The sequence below is a fragment of the Homo sapiens genome, chromosome 7 (genome assembly GCF_000001405.40).
Source record: "Homo sapiens chromosome 7, GRCh38.p14 Primary Assembly".
Taxonomy (NCBI): domain Eukaryota; kingdom Metazoa; phylum Chordata; class Mammalia; order Primates; family Hominidae; genus Homo; species Homo sapiens.
The window spans coordinates 65,485,854-65,507,554 of NC_000007.14; the positions used below are offsets into that span (position 1 = coordinate 65,485,854).

At 34.1% G+C, this 21,701-nt stretch overlaps 1 pseudogene across 2 annotated transcripts in view; it reads right to left on the reverse strand.

The window, feature by feature from the left end:
- Positions 1-6,481: 6,481 nt before the first annotated feature.
- LOC101929322 (integrator complex subunit 4 pseudogene) overlaps positions 6,482-21,701 on the reverse strand; it is a 62,731-nt pseudogene continuing 47,511 nt past the window's right edge. For both annotated transcript variants that reach the window (NR_157837.1, NR_157838.1), the window contains one exon: positions 6,482-13,582. The product of NR_157837.1 is annotated as an integrator complex subunit 4 pseudogene, transcript variant 1 (transcript). The remainder of the gene's footprint in view (positions 13,583-21,701) is intronic.

A 21,701-nucleotide genomic window follows, 5' to 3' on the forward strand; every position in this document is an offset into this window, starting at 1 on the left:
CAGTGTGGTGATTCCTCAGGGACCTAGAACTAGAAATACCATTTGACCCAGCCATCCCATTACTGGTATGTACCCAAAGGATTATGAATCATGCTGCTATAAAGACACATGCACACGTGTGCTATTGTGGCACTATTCACAATAACAAAGACTTGGAACCAACGCAAATGTCCAACAATGATAGACTGGATTAAGAAAATGTGGCACATATACAGCATGGAATGCTATGCAGCCATAAAAAATGATGAGTTCATATCCTTTGTAGGGACATGGATGAAACTGGAAACCATCATTCTCAGCAAACTATCACAAGGACAAAAAACCAAACACCGCATGTTTTCACTCATAGGTGGTAACTGAACAATGAGAACACATGGACACAGGAAGGGGAACATCACACACTGGGGACTGTTGTGGGGTGGGGGCAGGCAGGAGGGAGAGCATTAGGAGATATACCTAATGCTAAATGACGAGTTAATGAATGCAGCACACCAACATGGCACATGTATACATATGTAACAAACTTGCTCATTGCGCACATGTACACTAAAACTTAAAGTATAGTAATAGTAATAAAAAAAGTAAAAAAAAATAAAGTAAAAGGAAGGTTTAACTGTGTTAGATGAATCCACACTTAAGAAGAAGATTCCCAGATAATTTCTTTCTAGTTTTTATCTGACTATATTCGGTTTTTCTCCTGAGGTTTCAATGGGCTGAAATATTCTTTTACATATTCTACAAAAAGAGTGTTTCCAACTGGCAGAATCAACAGAAAGGTTTAACTCTCCAAGATGAATCCACACATCACCAAGCAGTTTCACAGATAGTTTCTATCTAGTTTTTATCTGTGGATATTCAGTTTTTTGCCATAATAGGCTCTTATTTTAATAGGCTTCCAAATATCCTTTCATATATTCTTCAAAAAGAGAGTGTTTCCAACTGGTGGAATCAACAGAAAGATTTAACTCTCCAATATGAATCCACACATCACCAAGAAGTTTCACAGATAGTTTCTATCTAATTTTTATCTGGTGATATTCAGTTTTTTGCCATAATAGGCTCTCATTTTAATAGGCTTCCAAATATCCTTTCATGTATTCTTCAAAAATTGTGTTTCAAAAATGCTGAAGCAAAAGGAAGTTTTAAATCTGTGAGGTGAATCCACACATCAACAAGCTGTTTCACAGATAGCTTCTTTCTAGTTTTTATCTGGGGATATTTCAGTTTTTCCCCATAGGCCACAATGGGCTCCCAAATGCCCCTTGGCAGATTCCCCAAAAAGATTTTTCCAACCTGCTGAATCAAAAGAAACGTTTAACTCTGTGAGATTAATTGACACATGACAAAGCATTTTCACATATAGCTTCTTTTTACGTTTTATCTTGGGATATTCTATTTTACCTCATAGGCCTCAATGTGCTCCCAAATGTCTTTTTACAGATTGTACAAAAAGAGTGTCCTCAACCTGCTGAATCGAAAGAATAGTTTAATTCTGTGAGATGAACCCACACATCACAAAGCAATTTCACAGATAGCTTCTTTCTACTTTTATCTGAGGATATTCAGGTTTTTTTATATAAACTTGAACGGACTCCCAATTTTCCCTTCGCAGATTTTACAGAAGAAGTGTTTCCAACATGCTGAATCAAAAGAAAGGTTTAACTCTATGAGATAAATGCAAAAATCATGAAGCCATTTCAGAGATAGCTTTTTTCTAGTTTTTATCTTGGTGTGTTCAGTTTTTTTCCATAGGCCTCAATGTGCTCCCCAACCTCCTGTTGTACATTCTAAAAATACAGTGTTTCAAATCTGCAGAAAAAAAACCCGTAACTCTGTTAGATGAATCCACAAGTTACACAGATAGCTTCTTTCTAGTATTTATCTGGGGATATTCAGTTTTTTTCCCTTAGGCTTCAACTGGCTCCCAAATGTACCTTCGCAGATTCTACAAAAGGAGTGTTTCCATCCTGTTGATTCATAGCATAGGTTTTACTCTGTGAGATGAATCCACACATTACCAAGCTGTTTCATGGATTGGTTTTTTCTAGTTTTTATCTGGGGATATTTTGTTTCTCCCAATAGACCTCAATGAGCTCCCAAATGTTCATTTGTAGACTCTACAAAAAGAGTGTTTCCAACCTGTTGAATAAATGAATGGTTTTACTCTGTGAGATTAAATCACACATCCAAAAGCAATTTCACAGATAGCTTCTTTCTAGTCTGTATCTAGGGATATTAGTTTTTTTCCCATAGTCCTGAATGGGCTAGGAAATACCCTTCACAGATTCTGCAAAAAGTGTGTTTCCAACCTACTCAATCAAAAGAAAGGTTTAGCTCTGTGAGATGAATCCACATACCACAAAGTAGTTTCACAAATAGATTTTTTGCAGTTTTTATCTGGGGATATTCAGTTTTTCCCGAGGCCTCAGTTGGCTCCCAAATATCCCTTCACAGATTCTACAAAATGATCATTTCCAAACTGCTGAATCAAAATAAAGTTTTAATTTTGTGAGTTGAATCCACACATGACAAAGCAGTTTGACAGCTAGCTTTTTTCTAGTTTTTATCTGAAAATAATCAGTTTTTCCTCCTATGCCTTTAATGGGCTCTCAAATGTCCCTTTGCATATTCTACAAAAAGAGTGTTTTCAACCTGCTGAATCAAAGAAAGTTTAAACTCTGTGAGAGGAATCCACAAATCACAAAGCAGTTTCACAGATAACCTCTTTCTAGTTTTTATCTTGGGATATTCTGTTTTCCTCTATAGGCCATTAATGGACTGCCAAATGTCCCTTAGCAGATTCAACAAAAAGAATGTTTCCCACCTACTAAATAAAAAAAAGATTGAATTCTGTGAGATAAATTTATACAACACAAAGCAGTTTCACAGATAGCATCTTTCTAGTTTTTACCTGGACATGTTCAGTTTTTCCCCACAGGCCTCAAGAGGCTCCCAAATATCCCTTTGCAGATTCTGCAAGAAGAATGTTTCCAACCTGTGGAATCAAAAGAATTGTATAAATCTGTGAGATGAATTGATACATCACAAAGCAGTTTCACAGATAGCTTCTTTCTAGATTTTATGATTCCATTCGATTCCATTCAATGATGATTCCATTCGATTCCATTTGATGATGATTCCATTCGATGAGGATTCCATTCGATGATGATTCCATTTGATTTCATTTGATGATTCCATTCGATTCCATTCAATGATGATTCCATTCGATTCCATTTGATGATTCCATTAGATTCCATTCGATGATGATTCCATTCGATTCCATTTGATGATTTCATTTGATTCCATTCGATGATGATTCCATTCGATGATTCCATTCGATTCCATTCTATGATGATTCCATTCGATTCCATTCGATGATGAGTCCATTCGATTCCATTCGATGATGATTCCCTTCAATTCCATTTGATTGTGATTCCATTCGAGTCCCTTCGATGATGATTCCATTCGAGTCCATTCATTGATGATTCCATTCGAGTCCATTCCATTCCATTCAAGTTCATTCCTTTCCATTTGAGTCCATTCCATTCCATTCCAGTCCACTCCACTCCACTCCAGTCCGTTCCATTCCATTTAATTCCATTCCATTCCATTCCACTCCACTGCACTCCACTCCATTCCACTAGACTCCCCTCCACTCCATTCCATTCCACTCCACTACATTCCATTCCATTCCATTCCCCTCCATTCCATTCCATTCCACTCGATTTTACTCCACTCCACTCCACTCCTCTCCACTCCACCCCACTCCACTCCACTGCAGTCCATTCCATTCTACTGCATTCCATTCCACTGCATTCCATTCCATTCCTTTCTTTCGAGCGTATCTCAGTCTGTCACCCAGCCTGGAGTGCAGTGGCACAGTCTCAGCTCCCATTCCATTCCATTCCATTTGATTCCATTCAATTCCATTCTATTCCATTCTATTCGGTTCGATTCCATTCCATTCCATTCCACTCCACTCCACTCCACTCCATTCCATTCCATTCCATTTCACTCCATTGCATTCCATTCCTTTCTTTCGAAAGGATATCACTGTGTCACCCAGGCTGGAGTGCAGTGGCACAATCTCAGCTCATATTACATGTCCGCTTTCCATTGCATTGCATTCTATTCCATTGCATTCCATTCCATTCCATTCCACTCCATTCCATTCCATTCCACTCCATTCAATTCCATTCCATTCCACTGCATTCCACTCCACTCCACTACATTCCATTACATCCAATTCCATTCCACTCCCTTCCACTCCTCTCCACTCCACTACACTCCACTTGACTCCTTTCCATTCCATCACTTTCTTTTTTTTTTTTTTTTTTTTTTTTGAGACGGAGTCTCGCTCTGTCGCCCAGGCTGGAGTGCAGTGGCGCAATCTCGGCTCACTGCAAGCTCCGCCTCCCGGGTTCATGCCATTCTCCTGCCTCAGCCTCCCAAGTAGCTGGGACTACAGGTGCCCGCCACTACGCCCGGCTAATTTTTTGTATTTTTAGTAGAGACAGGGTTTCACCGTTTTAGCCGGGATGGTCTCGATCTCCTGACCTCGTGATCCGCCCGCCTCGGCCTCCCAAAGTGCTGGGATTACAGGCGTGAGCCACCGCGCCCGGCCCATTCCATCACTTTCTATTCCGCTCCATTCCACTGCACTCTACTCCACCCCACTCCACTCCACTTCATTCCATTCCATTCCATCCCATTCCATTCCTCTCCATTTCACTCCACTCCACTCCAGTTCACTCCATTCCATTCCATTGCATTCCATTCCATTCCTTTCTTTCGAGAGTATTTCACTCTGTCACCCATACTGGAGCGCAGTGGCACAATCTCAGCTAACATTTCATTATTCCATTCCATTCCATTTCATTTTATTCCATTGCATTCCATTGCATTGCATTCCATCCCATTCCATTCCATTCCACAGAGGAGGTCAAAGTATATATCTTATTCTTATCTCTGACCATAGTGGGAAATTATCCTTTCTTTCACCACTAAGTTGAATGTTTGCTGTTGGCTTTTCACAGGTGCCATGTATCTGGTGTAGAAAGTTCTCTATTCCTGGTTCATTGAGTTTTTATTTTTATTTGTAATCATTAAAGCATTTGGATTTTGTTAAATGTCTTTTCTGAATCTATCGAGATGATAATGCAATTCTCGTTTCTTATTCTATGGATAAGATGTATTACCTTAATGGATTTTGGGCTGTTAAACCAACCTGGGATTACTAGTATAAATTTCACTTTGTCATAGTGTATAATTATTTTATATGTTGCTAGATTTGTTAGTTTTTTTTAAGGAATTTTGCATTTATGATTATAGTAGTTTTATTTTTCTATGCTATTTGGACTAACTTTTGTATCAAGGTAACACTGGCCCCACAGAATAAATTGGGAGGTGAATATTTCTCGTTTTTAAAAAGTTAGTCAAGAATTAATATCAATTAGTGAATACTAACAAATATGATTAAAATTATTAATTATTAATTTGTCTGATTTTTATTTTCTTCCTTCTGCTTGCTTTAGGTTTATTTTGGTATTTTTTCCAGTGCCTTAATGTGGAAGGTCATCTTATCTCATCCTTTCCTTTGTCTTTTCATTTTCGAAATAGTGTCTTTTTAGCATCAGGTGAGGTCCCCAGGTTGGCAGTACTCCATGTTTATTGCTGTACAACAACGACAGGTAATATGTCCTGAAGACAATGGAAACTTAACATTCAAAATCCTCCTAGATTCCACCTTATGTGATATGTCTCTTCCTTTGATTGGTCCTAATTTGTACCCTTTCTCTATTATAAACCATGAGTACAATGGCATTCAATGAGTTCTGTGAGTATCTCTAGTAAATTCTTGAAACTGAGGGTGTTCTGGGGAAACCCCTGAACCGGCAGTTGGTGTCTAAAAGTGAGAATCGTCTTATATGGCCTCCTCCTTTGAACTTTGCAGCTGGACCCAAAGTCTGCACAATTTGGGCCAGAAGTCTCGTGTTGACTTTGCAGCCTAAAGTATCTTGTAGTTTGTCTAACCCTCAATAAATTTGCTTTCATCAAATATTGTATTTGTTACCCCAAAATTACCATCATTTTTTTCTCCAAATAACTAACATTTGGAGAAACAGCCAGCTGAATCTGTAACTCAACAGAAACAAGAGATCCATAAACCATATAAGTGGCCATTTCATTTTTTTGCCTCCTTCCACCAAATTTTAGCAACCTCAACCATTGCCATGAGCCACTGTAGGCCTACCGGCTACAAACAAACACGTATCTTTTAAAAACACTTCATACTCCCATTTGATAAATTTCCCAGCAAAGAGATGCCTACTTTAACTCTATGCAGGTGGCTCATATTCACGAAGTCTGGAGATATTATTCATGTAGTGTGAGAAAACCATCCCAGCGACGCCAACACATTCTCCTTCCCATGATCTGCTTAGTTTGCAAACATATTCAGGCCATGGGTGAGAGATTTGTATTTCACAGGACAGCAATTTTATGGAGAGCATCGAAACTTACATTGAGCATTTTAGTACAGTCACACATCACTGAATGATAGGATATATTCTAACAGATGCATCCATAGGCATTTTCATCGTTTTGTAAACATCACAGTGAATATTACAAACACCTAAATTGTACAGCCTACCACGTCTAGGTTATATGGTATAGCCTCTCTCCCCTAGGCTACAAACCTGTGTACTATATTACTATACTGAATACTGCCAGCAATAAGAACACAGCGGTAAGAGTTTATGTATCTAAACATTCTTAAACATAGAAAAGTATGTAAAAATATGTATTATAATCTCATGGGATCACTTTTGTATATGTAATCCATCATTGACTGAAATGTTATTATGCATCACATGACTGACAAAAATAAAATAATACATTGTAAAAAATGTACACATGTATCAAACATATTATAAAAATAAAAATATTCAGTGTAAGAATTTGTAATGATCACAAAATATTCACAGCTTATATTTTAGTACAGTTTCAAATGCCTAGTGCAATTACTATTTATTTATAACATGTATATAATAAATATTTTTCAGGTTCAACAATATATATCAATCTTACTGGCTCTTATAAATATTAGTTAAAATCAATTGGTAAATTCATGTATATATATACACACACGTGTATCAGTGTGTGCATGTGTGTAAATGTAACTGTATGTGTGTGTAAATGTAATTGGATGCATCCTAATATTTACCCTTACCTACAAGATTTCCAAGATTCATTTATTATCTTTAGTTGATATGCATTTAAAGATTTACCAAATAAAACTCTAATCGTGGAAAATATCAAGATGTTATTAAATTCATCTTGTGCACATAATTGTTTCTATAAATTTGTTTCTTGCAAAACTTGCAGTAATGTTCATGCACAAAATAATTTTCTAAATAAAAAAAACATTTTCTGTCATTAATTTTAATAATTATTTCTCCCTAATAATTAATGTGAATTCTTAATTCTTAATTATAGAATAATGTTGCCCTTCAGAGTTTGGAAACTTTTACATGTTGTACCCATTTCACTAACCAGAAAAACTTCTGAAATATTGGCATTAATGTCACTCAGCAATTACTGATTTCGAAGAAATTAAATACCATTCATATTCTGAATCACAAAGTGTACTTTGGCATCTAATTTAATCAAGCTCTTTGTATCATCATCTACACTTTAATTACTTAATAAACATTTGTCTGTGTGAGAAAGATTGAGCAGGTTATTGTGCTTTTTTAAGATGCAACTTTTGTTTAATCTAGAGATAGGCAATGCTCCCTATAAGGAACAAAGAGAAAAATGAATGAACAATAGAGATGTGACAGGCATGGAAAAAGGCACTACATTTATAAAACAAATAGGGCCACAGACGATAATGGGGATCAAATCTTGAGATACTGACTCAGTTTATAACTGCACTGTATAATAGAGCAAATCATTTGTTAATTTTTTGACAAATGGAATTTAATTTAATTAAGATGGATACAGTGTTTTAAACAAGGCAGGTCATCTTAAAATAAAAGAGTGGAATAAAGTGATAAAACCAAAGTAAAAATCATAAACATTTTATAAAGAATTTTTGTCATGTAATTTTTTTATTTAAAATCACCCAAATCAAAATAATTTTATCTTAATTAACAAATAATCATCAGAAGTTTAACTAATTTTACTTTATAATACTAGGTTTAAAAATTCTTAACTATATTTTAATCATATATGCTTATATATAAAATAGACATAGGATATATATTTACATGTTCACAATATTATATTGTAATTGTTCCTATGGATGTGGTTTTTCAATAGAATTATTAAGTACTTTTAAAAAGTTTCAATTTCAATGATATATATGTTTGACTTTTCTTTGACAAAGCATACATATATTGATAGGTAATGATATGAAAATCTTCTAAAGACATTACAGGAACATGAAAATGTAATTAAATACTCACAATTTGTAATGTTTTATGTAAGTGGAACACATTTAACTGAAAATTGCTTTTATATAATACTCAAACGAGACTAAAAACATTTTAACTAGCGGAATAAGTCTTCAAATTGATAATCTGAACTATATAAGAGGAGAAACTTCAGGCATTCAAATACTTGAAATGCTACAAAATATTTATATAAACTATTATTTAACCATTTCTGTTTGTCGAGTGCTATACAGTAATCAATATAAATGACATCTCAAGTCTTTCTATAGCTTTGACCACATTTACCTCCTAATTTTAATTATTAATATGTTGGAGCAGTGCATACAACTCGATTCCGATCTTCTCTTTAATGAGTAAAAATATGTCCTTTGAGACAGCATTAAAGAGCACCTTGTATAAATTCAAAGCCAAGAGACAAGATATTCTTGATTCTGATGTCTTGTTCTTTTATACAACAATGTAATTAATAAGAGGAAAAGCAGGACATAGACATGGAGTCTATTTTAATCAAAAATTGTCCATAGATTTTGATGATAAAATTTAAAAATCTACTACATTTAGTTACAAAAAACTAGGTTGTGGGAACTTATTTGTTCAATAAAACACAGCTACTAAATGCTGACAAGAAAAAAAGTTAGGTACCACCTTTCTTCTCTGCAGATGGCCTGAGATGGGTTAATTTGAAAGAATGCTTCCAAACCTGAGGTGACCCCTGGGAACAGCATAATCCACTGCTGTCTCCTACATTCAGTTTCTCAGTTTGTGCTCTTTTAATTTCGGGGGGAGGGAAGCCAGTCCTTTAAACCGATCTTCAGCACGATGGCAGAGGCAAGGAGTGTGGACAGGTGGCACGGTGTCTGACTTTGTTGCAGCAGCCACTTGGGCTTTCTCTGGGTCTTCTCTGCCCTAGGGATAGCACCACTATTGAAAACATGTCTTTGTGACATTCTTTATGCCAGGAACTCCCAACGCATTTTCCTTGAAACTGATGAAATGAATAAAAATAAACCAAGAGGTGTGCTGTTTGTTTCTGTTTCCTCCTTTCTGCAGCCCTTCTTGATCATCTAATATTTTTAAATACATTGTCGATCAGCAAAAGGAGCATAAGGCCTTTATTGATTTGTAGCAGATGTATTAATAGCCCAGCCCCTATTCCTTACCTGTAGCTGCTGTGAAGAAAACCATCCTTAACACTCTACAAGGTCTCATCTCCAGAATTTGCACCTGTTTCTAGCCGAGGACTCTCTCTAGCAGCATGGGAGCTTGATACTGGGCATGAAGTGGGAAGAAAAGGTGAGGGTAACTAAGAAGAATCTCCCTGGATTCAGTGATGTAATTCTGAGGCATGTTCCACATAGCTTCCCATAGAATTAAGCCCAGATATCTAACACAGGAACTTGCCTCTAAACACGTGTGGCATTGGCTTTTCTATCTTTCCTGTTTTATTTTGTTCTCTCTTCCTTGTCTCACTTTCGCTGTGTCCTCACTCCTGCTTTAAGAATACCCAAACAAATACATTCATTTATTTTTTTAGACTCTCAGAACACAGTTGATAGTTGAACTTGTAATCTATGATAATCAGCTTGGATGCTATACTGACAGGAAGATGGTGAACTCACAATGTCTAATTAAGATAAAATTAAAAAATATATTGACTCATGTCCAAAGATTTAAAAAACCTAAGCGGCAGTGTCACAATTTCTTCTTTTTAGTTCACATGGTTTCTTAAACGCCTACAATTATTTTAAAGTAAGACTTGAGTCTAGGAAAAATTGAGACATATGGAATAAATTACTAACCCATTTCTCCTTGAAATCCATTAGATGCTTGATGATTTTTCACATACATTTCTGAATTGAAAAGCTACTTGTGAATTATTTTTATAAGCATATCCTTATGTAATATTTTGTTTTTAACAGTGAATTGAAGGTTTAAAGATTAAATTATTCTATCCAGAGAATAAAAAGCAATTATTTCACAAGGAGAACATGTGTATGTTGACACGACATTTTAAAATCTAGATTTTAAAATAGGTCCCATATACTTTTGAGTCAGTTAGAATATGTTTGTATCAGTCTGTCTACAGTTTTACACCTGTCAAAATGTACTTGAACTACAACAATTACCTTGAACAATTTTGAAATTTATTATTTCTCTGAAACTGATTAAAAGAATTATGGTAGAGTGAAATTCTGATTGGCATAATTTGGGAGAGAAATTATTCCTTGGAGATCAACCTCTGCCATGATAGTTTATAATGACATTGAGACTTTTTGATTTACAAAATTTGTTATATAAAAAATACTAAGACGATGACAGATAATACACAGACTTTAATTAAAATTGTACTAAAATTAAATGTCTAAATAAATTAGAAGGGTACATGGTACATCTAACTGTATGTTTATATATTTTATTTGTGCATTTTATTCTTAGGGTTGCTTTTGCTTTAGTTTGTAAAATGTTCTTATTTTTATGATAATGTAGTATATACTAAATAAAGAAAAATCAGGAAGTAGAAAATGAAGAAGAAAACATTAGCTATTGTCAACCAAATAAAAATTGTGCAATCTCTAAGCACATGAACTATGTATTATTTGTACAGCACGTACAATGTTTATGCTTCACAGGGTGAGGTAGAGACTGCAAAACATCGAACCTGGGACAAATAAGAAAGTAAAGAAACTTTCACAACATATTAATATTATAGAAAGTGTTGAACTTAACAGTTAAGATACAAGTAGTGAAAAATGATAGTATTTAAGGAGATCTAGAAAATTTAATCTATATCTGTAATGTGTTAGAAGTATTAGAATAATGCTTGTATTTCTGGATTGGCATCGATTTCTATTGAGACTGGAAACATAATAGAAGAGAGGGAAAAACAATTTAAATTGTGGATACTTGAGTTTTATACCTAGGAGTTCGAGAAATACATTTTGTTACTATCAAAGCAGTTGGCACAAGAGTGTACAAAATTCCCTAATTGTGTCTATGTGGAGAAGACATAGACAGAGAATAGCCAAACAGAAATAGCAAAAAAGCACAAATAAATTTTACCTGTATTTTTACGTAAAAGCCAATTAGAGTAGGAAAACATGAAATTTGTGTTTTATCAAAATATTTCTCTTTCTCATAATATAGTTGATTATATTACTGGAAAAAAATTGAAGCATTGGTATGTTCACAAAAAAAAGTAAAATATAAGGTCAAAACCATGGGAACGCAGGGAGCAGACAAAATATACCTAAACACCGAAACTGATTTTGCCCTACGGAAATGTACCAAAATGAATGAGTGCAGATTCCTACTGTCATTCATCACATAGGACAGTAAAGAAATACACAGCTTTTCCCAAGATAGGGCATCACACAGGAGCTCCTCCCTAAAGCTAGGACCAAAATTTCTGTCCTCAGTATAAACAAGAATCAGAGGTAAATTAGTCCCATTTCACATTCCCTGGAAATGGCAAATAAAAATGACTTGAGATTGGACAGATTTAAAGAAACTCAATCATTAATGATTTACAGCAATTAATTTAAAAATTGTTTAAATGTGCAGTCCAAACATACATCCAAACACCTTTAGGCCAAGAATTAACATAATGTGGTCCCAGAATGGTGGTGTCTTTAGTAGACTCACAAAAAAATTCAAATTCTCTTTGGCAAATTTTCTTCTTACTAATCCTCAAAAGTGCACAAAAATAATTTTCAGAGAAAAATAAATATTTGTCATTCAAAGGCATCTAAGTACGCAAGGAAATGATATTCCACCATCTGAAAGGAAAGCAGAACAAGAGTACAAACAGATCCACAAAGTTTCATTAGTAGAAATATCACTGTTAGATTATAAAGCAAATTTGCTTTAAAAAAATTTAAAATAAAATGAATATATTTTTAGGAGACTAAAAAATTGATGTAGCAAATTCGAAAAGTAGTTTGTATAAAAATATAGTATTTTAAATTAAAAACTCAAAAATGAACTCATCAGATTAGACATGGCCATGGTGAGAGTTCATAAATATTTCAGAATGCATTACAGAAAATTTTAAAAAATGCAAAATGTGGACAGAATCATTAAGAGACATGGATGATACAGTGAGAAAGTGTAGCATGTGTGTAGTGAGTGTTCTCATACAAGAATAGAACTGGGAAGGGAGAATATGTGATGGTATTTTGGCTGAAAGTTCTCTAGACTTTTGTAAGACACTAATCCGCATGTTCAAAAATTCCATGCATGCTAAGCAAGCTACAATGGAGATAAACCTACACCTACGTATCTCCTAGAGTAATAGTAAACAATCAGGAAGGGAAAAATATTTCACTTAGCACTAGAAAAATCAAATTACCTTTAATCATATTGAAATCTGAAAGAATGAAAGGTAAAATAATAGTATTTGTTAAAAATAATAATGCCATTCTGAAATTCTCAAGCAAGAAAAATATTCATCAACCTATGGCTAAATAACATATTTAGAGACAAAAAACAAAACGCCACCAGCAGAATTCCACTAAAGAAACTAAAGAGAAACTCTGAAAACATGCTTCAGAAAGGCTGAAGTTCTGAAATCAGAGAATGAACACAGAGCAAAATATACTGTAAACATACAGATAGATCTAAATAAAAAATTAGGTGTTGAAACAAAAAGATATTCAAAATTAGATAAGCACTGCAATATGTATGTTAGGAAGCAAATTATTAGGGCTGAAGTATTCAAAGACCCCTTAATTGTCCGACAAGAGCAGAAAGGTGAGTATGACTTTGCAACTCTTTTTTTTTGTTTTTTTGAGAAGGAGTCTCACTCACTCTTTCGTCCAGGCTGGAGTGCAGTGGCGCCATCTCGGCTCACTGCAACCTCTGCCTCCCAGGTTCAAGCAATTCTCCTGCCTCAGCCTCCTGAGTAGCGGGGATTACAGCCGCGTGCCACCATGCCTGGCTGATTTCTGTATTTTTAGTAGTGACGGGGTTTCACCATGTTGGTCAGGCTAGTCTCCAACTCCTGACCTCATGATCCACATGCCTCGGCCTCCCGAAGTGTTGAGATTACAGGCGTGAGCCACGGCGCGCGACCGACTTTGGAACTTTAATAAATTCGCTGGACATTATGCATTTCTCTGTTGTATCTATGAAAACAATAAAAATAAGTCATAATTTAAAAACAAGAAGACAGAAACTAATAGGAGAAAATGAGACATTTTATATATATATATACACAACAAATTAATAAAACAAATTAAGTATAAATGATCAAAGATTAACTTAAACCTAAGTACACGATGTTTCTATTAAAATACAAAGATTGGCAAAATTAAAAAAATCCGTCTCTATCATAGTTACAAGAGAGGCAACTAATATATAAATTTACAGAAACTTTGAAATTCAAACAATACAGATACTGTGTATATATGATATACATACATACTACATGAATATAATTTTTTAAAAAGTTGCTATGCAGACAAAATAGAATGTAAGTTAGAAACATTTATTAAAATAAGTTAGTCTAACCAGTGTGATAAAAATTTTAAGTTATTAAGATGTGATGACTTAAATGTGCATTAGCCTGATACATATATACATAAATACACACACAACACACTCTCACACACACACACACACACACACACGTATTTAGAGAGTCAAATTATATAAAGCAAAAATATCAGAAAGTAAGTAGAAATGGATAAGCCCCCAAATCATTATAGACATTTCAAACACACATCTTTCAGTAATAGATAAAAGAAAAAATTAAAAGAGTAAGTTTTAAAAGAAGCTAGTGGATTTTAAAAAGGGCAAATGTTTTATAAGGAACATGAATATTATAATTCATGTTATTTTCATGTTCATACAGAATACTTACAAAAATTAACATTTTCTAGACCATAACACAAATTCAAACAATTTTCACGGAAATAACGTGACACAGAATATATTTCCTAAACAAACAGCAATGAAGGTAGATATCAATACAAAAAAGAAAGCTAGAAACATAAGTCTAATAATATTGGTTGGAAGCTATTTTAATGAATATTGAAATATTATAAAGGTCAATAGTCAATACAATGAACCAAACACTTTTTTAAGGCCACTAAGATGCAAGTATAATGTGTAATGCCTCCTTTTATAAGGAGTAAATCTGTAACATCACCTGGGCTATTTGACAACTGCAAAGTGAATGTGAGAAGGAGAGAAACAGTGAGAGAGAGAGAGAGAGATAAAACCAGTAAAATAAACATAAAGAACGAAGGAAATATCCAGGCGCCATGGGTCACGCCTGTAATCCCAGCACTTTGAGAGGCCGAGGCAGGTGGATCACCTGAGGTCAGGAGTTCGAGACCAGCCTGGTCCAACATGGTGAAACCCATTCTCTACTAAATACACAAAAATTAGCCTGGCATGGTGGCATGCAGCTGTAATCCCAGCTACTCGGGAGGCTGAGGTGGGAGAATTGCTTGAATGTGGCGGGTGGAGGTTGTAGTGAGTAGAGATCATGCCACTGCACTCCAGCTTGGGCGACAGAGCAAGACTCTGTCTCAAAAAAAAAAAAAAAAAAAAAAAAAAAAAAAAAAGAGGAGGAACCGGTACATGAAAAAGCAGAATTAAAGCCACAGAGTATATATTTAAAAATGCAAAAGCTCACTTTTTCAGAAAAATATTAAAATATTAAATCTAACAAATATCTAGGTAGACTGATGGAGAAAAATACAGAAAATGCACAAAAAACCAATTACCTGGAATGCAAAGGTTACAAAACGTCAGCAGTTGTAGATTTTAAATAAGCAATGACTTTGAGTTCAACCATGATGGGGTATATTGAAAAGAATCTCTCAGAAAAAAAGAAAAAAAACTGTTATAAAGCTATGTATAAAATGTTAAGCACTATTAAAGTCTTCCAATTATACCAGTTATGGAGTTATTTGTCTTGGACTAACTCTCCTGAAAAGAAAAAAACAAAACAAAACCTAAAAACCCGGATAAAATAGCCTACCGTGGGCAATGGCAATGCAACCAAGCAGGTAGGACATGGGTGCTACATTCTCTTTGTCAGAACACAAAGCATTCATACACTCTTCTCACCCTCACTCTCACCTTTTAATCTTAGATCTACTATTAAAAGTATTCAACATTACTATCAATCCTTTGGCCAAAATTTCTTTACTCACATTTTGCTTGATGCACTTGGATAGACTGTTCAAGAAAGTGTGAGTAGTGAATTCCTCAAACTCTTGCATATTTAAAATTACATTTTTGAACCTTGATGCTTGAAGTGTAGCTTGGGTAACGGGTGGGCTTTAAGCCAATTTTGGCATGCAAGGGGTTGAGTTTATTAGGCATCAGCACCTCTGAAAATCGTGGGGATGCAGGCTTAATTTCAACACTATTCTAAATACTTGAAAGATATTATATAACTCTTTAATAAACTCCTGTGTCTACAAATGGTTCACATTAACTCAATATCCATGATTAAACATCTATAAAATCAAGGCACTGTTATTTAGTGGAGACTTGCTGGCTATTCTATGAGAGGAGGTATTGTTATTGTAATCTCATCCTCTCATAAAAGTGTATCATATTACTCATAACCAGCCCTTCATATTCTATTCCTATTTTGGTATTTAAAAATAAGATATCTTTGAAACACTTGAATTCAAATCTGAATAGTTTTTAAAATGTCAATGAAATGCCATTTCTTCATGCTTGAACAAATACAAATTGACTGAAGTGCTTCTCTTCAAACTTTCTGGAACATTTTTTATCTAAATTCTAGGAACAATCACAATAGGTTTTAACCACAAATGTGAGAATGTTCTAAATGTTAGGGTGGAAAAATTTTTAAAATAATTTTATAGTAATTTTTTCATCATAGTGACAGTGTGCTAAATTTTTTTCAGTCAAATATTACTGTGGACATTTAAGTCAAGATTCTAAGAAGCTGTTCTACAGTCCAAAATTGTTTCATATACAATATTATATATATGTATTTGCATAAAAAATTAATATAAGTGAGCCATTTCAAATAGTTGAGAGATTATTATATCAAAGATTCTTGATTATATAAAATGCCAATTACTTATGGGCACACATGCTTTTAATAATTACAAAGGCAGCTGTGGTTGATTCTACTCTTGCTACTGGCATTTATATGGACATAACATTATGGTCTGAAGAATATTTAGGCAAATTTATCCCTCATATGATCAGAAGAACAATGCAAGATAGTTTATATCTGAAAGGAAAAAATCTTTATATGGCTCTGAAAGCCTAAATCATTAACTACTTGGATAATAATTAGCATAAAAATACACAAACATGCCCTCTTCCTAGCAGTAAGTACACAGTGACAACAGAATCAAAGCATGTGGCTCCTCTTCTCTGCCCTTTCTAGATGGCACAATTCCTCATGAATCTAAGTGCAGTCATAGGGTGGATTAGGGTGACCTGCCATTTGTATGCAACTGATCTCTATTTTGGAAGCAATTAATGTAAAAATATATTTTTACAAGATAATTTCAAATTTCGGGGCAAACTAGCATGGTTTCACTCCTTTGTAACATTTTTTCTAAGGTTGGAAAAGTAAGGCTTTAGTACGATTTTTAATAATAAGTTTTCAAAGTGAGACGCAAAATGGTGGCGCCAACACATTTCAAGTCTGCTATATTTTGAATACACTTATTGGAGAAAAGACCTTCTCATCATTTTTCTCTTACAGGAAAGGAAATAACATGTACAGTTGACCCTTAAGCAACACGGAGGTTGGGGTGCTGGCCCCCCTGCACAGTAGAAAACCCACTATAACTTTGACTCCCCCAAAACTTTACTAATAGCCTACTCTAAGCCTTACAAGTAACACAAGCAGTCAATTAACACATATTTAACATGTTATATTTCTTATATACTGTATTCTTAACATGCCAGAGAAAAGAAAAAGAAAATCATAAGGAAAATATATTTACTAGTTATTAAATGGAAGTACATGATCAAACAGATCTTCATCCTCATCCTTTTCATGGGCAGGGTGTGGAGAAGGATGTAGAATTGTTGGTTTTGCTAAGTGGACCTGCACAGTTCAAACCCCTGTGGTGCAAAGGCCAACTGTATAGCCATTGAATAGCAATTTAGTTTTAGAAATTAACCTCACTAAAATACTCTTAGAAGGATGCCAAGAAAAAAATGAATAAGTATTTTGGTTCATCTATTTCATCATTTCATTTCATCATTTCACTTCCTCATTTCATCATTTCATTTCATTTCCTCCTTTCATCATTTCATTGCATCATTTCATCATTCCATCTTATCATTTCATCTCATTCTTTCATTTCCTTTCATCATTTCATCATTTCATCTCAACATTTCATCATTTCACTTCATCTCATCATTTCATTTCATCTCATGATTTCATCTCATCATTTCATCTCATCATTTTATTTCATATTTTCATCTCATTTCATTTCATCATTGCATCTTTTTATCTCAATTCATTTATTTCATCAATTCATTTCATTTATTTCATCATTTCATCATGACTTCATTTCATCATTTCATCATTTAATATCATTTTATCATGTCATTTCATTTCATATCATTTCATCATTTCATCTTTCCATTTCATCATTTCATCATTTGACTTATCATTTCATCATTTCATCATTTGACTTATCATTTCATTTCATTTCCTCATTTCATCATTTCATTTCATCCTTTCATCATTTCATCTCATCATTCCATCCTTTCATTATTTCATCATTTCATCTCATCATTGCATTTCATTTCATCATTTCACTTCATCTGATTTCATAATTTCATATCATGATTTCATTTCATCTCATCATTTCATCTCATTTCATCATTTCATCTCATCATTTCATTTCATCAATTCATCATTTCATCATTTCATTAATCATTTCACTTCATCATTTCATATCATTTCATCATTTGATCTTTTCATTTCATCATTTCATCATTTCACTTCATCATTTCATTTCATTTCATTTCCTCATTTCATTTCACCATTTCATTTCATCATTCCATTTCATCATTTCATCATTTCATCTCATTTCATTATTTTATTTCATCAATTCATTTCATTTCACTTCATCATTTCATCATTTGACTTCATTTCATCATTTCATTTCATCATTTAATATCATTTCATCATTTCATTTCATATCATTTCATCATCTTTCCATTTCATCATTTCATCATTTGACTTATCATTTCATTTCCTCATTTCATTTCATTTCATCCTTTCATCATTTAATCTCATTTCATCCTTTCATTATTTCATTTCATCATTTCATCTCATCATTGCATTTCCTCATTTCACTTCATCTCATCATTTCATAATTTCATGATTTCATTTCATCTCATCATTTCATTTCATCTCATTTCATCTTTTCATCTCATTTCATCATTTCATCTTTCATCTCATTTCATTTCATCAATTCATTTCATTTCATTATTTCATTAATCATTTCACTTCATTTCATCATTTCATATCATTTCTTCATTTCATCATTTGATCTTTTCATCATTTCATTTCATCATTTCACTTCATCATTTCATTTCTTCATTTCATTTCCTCATTTCATTTCACCATTTCATTTCATTTCATTCCATTTCATCATTTCATCATTTCATCTCATCATTTCATCCTTTCATTATTTCATTTCATCATTTCATCTCATCATTTCATCATTTCACTTCGTCTCATCATCTCATGATTTCATCTCATCATTTCATCTCATGATTTCATTTCATCTCATCAATTCATAGCATCTTTTCATCTCATTTCATTATTTCATTTCATTTCATCTTTTCATTTTGTCATTCATTTCATCATTTCATTTTGTCAATTCATTTCATTTCCTTATTTCATCATTTCATTATTTCACTTCATTTCATCATTTCATATCATTTCTTCATTTCATCATTTCATCATTTCATTTCACTTCATTTCATTTCACCATTTCATCATTTCATCATTCAATTTCTCATTTCATCTTATCATTTCATTTCATCATTTCATCTCATGATTTCATTTCATCTCATCATTTCATCTTTTCATCTCATTTCATTTAATCATTTCGTTTCATTTCACCTTTTAATCTCGTCATTGCATTTCATTTCATGTCATCAATTCATCATTTCGTCATTTCATTTCATTATTTCATCATTTCATCATTTCACTTCATAACTTCATTACATTTCATCTCATCATTTCATATCATTTCATTTCATCTTCTCATTTCATCATTTCATTGTTTCACTTCATCATTTCATAGCATTTCATTTCATCATTTCATCTTTTCATCATTTCATTATTTCACTTCATCAGTTCATTTCATCATTTCATTTCATTTCCTCATTTCATTTCACCATTTTGTTTCATCATTTCATTATTTCATTTCATCATTCAATTTCATTTCATCATTTCATTATTTCATTTCATCTCATCATTTCATCATTTCATCATTTCATTTCTTCATTTCTTCATTTCATCATTTCATCATTACGTTTCTTCATTTGATCATTTCATTTCATCATTTCATCATTTCATCTCATCATTTCATTTCATCATTTCATTTCATCATTTCATCATTTCGTTTCTTCATTTGACCATTTCATTTCATCATTTCATCATTTCATCATTTCATTTCATTTCAGTGATACATGTATTTAAGTGCTAATGTGATGCCCAAGAGACACCCTATTTCCCTTTGTAAAACACGTCCTTCAACAAAAGGCAACCTCTCATGGCTGGCTAAGTCTACAGGGATACCAGCCTCTCTTCAACCACCCAGTTTGATTTAGAACCTCAAACAGCACCTCAGTTTCATAAAAACCTAAAACATAAACACAACACTTGGTTGTAAGTGAGCCAACAGTTTCTTGTCTCTTTCTCTGCTCAAGGCTTAAGGCCGTGTCTCCCCAACTACGTTCAGTGGAAGAAAAGATCCCCTGGACAAATAAGTTTGAGAACTGTTGTTGCAGGACTTCTCAGAACCTTTAAAACACAAATCCTCATCCGCAGGGATCTTCAGGAGGGAGATGGCTGGTGCAGCACAACTTTCTTTCACAGGAGCATCTTGCAGAATACAGTATGAGATACAGAAAGGCTGCACTGAGTCTTTTTAAGGGCCCGGGCCTTGGTGCGGGTGGGGTAGGAGCTCTCCAGATAGCATCTAATGAGTAGGAACATTCAGGTGGCTTTTTTTTTTCCTTATTGGCAAAACTGTGTGTGCACCATGAATGAAGCTGGTCTCCCTTATCCATATCAAAACTAAACCCAAATTAATTGGCTAAATTGGGACTCAACACCTCCAGGAGCCACATGGAAGAAAGCCCCACCACACTTTAAAGTAGCTTACCTCATCATATTTGAGGAAAGCAAAACGCTTATGACCAGTATGCTGCTAATACAAGTCTACAGATAATGCTGTATGAAAAATTATTTTTCCCAATCATGGCTGGCATAGTCTACATTTCACATTACACTTTCCCCCCTTTTTTTAAATTTTAAGCACAGGTCTTTTTTTCTTCTTTTTTTAAATTTTAATTTAATTATACAAGACGGAGTCTCAGTATGTTGCCCAGGCTGGTCTTGGACTCCTGAGCTCAAGTGATACATCCGTCTCCGCCTCCCAAAGTGCTGGGATTACAGGCCTGAGACACTGTGCCCGGCCTTAAACACAAATCTTAATTCATTCTTACAACTATCCTGAGGTTAGAAAAATGGAAGGGGAAGAAAAATGGCAAGCAGGCAGGCTGACTTCGGCTTCATTATTTGGAAGGACAGTTTGCTCGGTTAAAACACACTACTGCCCACAAAGGCCAAGACAACAGAAAAATACAGACTTATATAAATAGATTTTATATGTGACAGCAGTTTGAATGGAGACTTTTTCAATGCAAATGACAAACAGCTGTCCTTGGGAATAAATGACAACGAATTTTTTTATCTCAACAGCTGTCCTGAGAGCACGTCTCTACATCTCTACCTGCATTCTGGAAACCGGGAGAAAGCCAAAACGGACGACAAGACACTAGATCAGCCGTGTCCAACCCTGTGACTACAAGGACTTTTCCGCCTATCTTTGGTGGTGGGTATCATCAAAATTCTGCACAAACCTTTTTTTTTTTTTTTTTTTTAAGCTCATTAGCTGTTGTTAGCATTAGTGTATTTTATGTGTGGCCCAGGAGCATTCTTCTTCCAATGTGGGCCTGAGAAGCCAAAAGACTGGA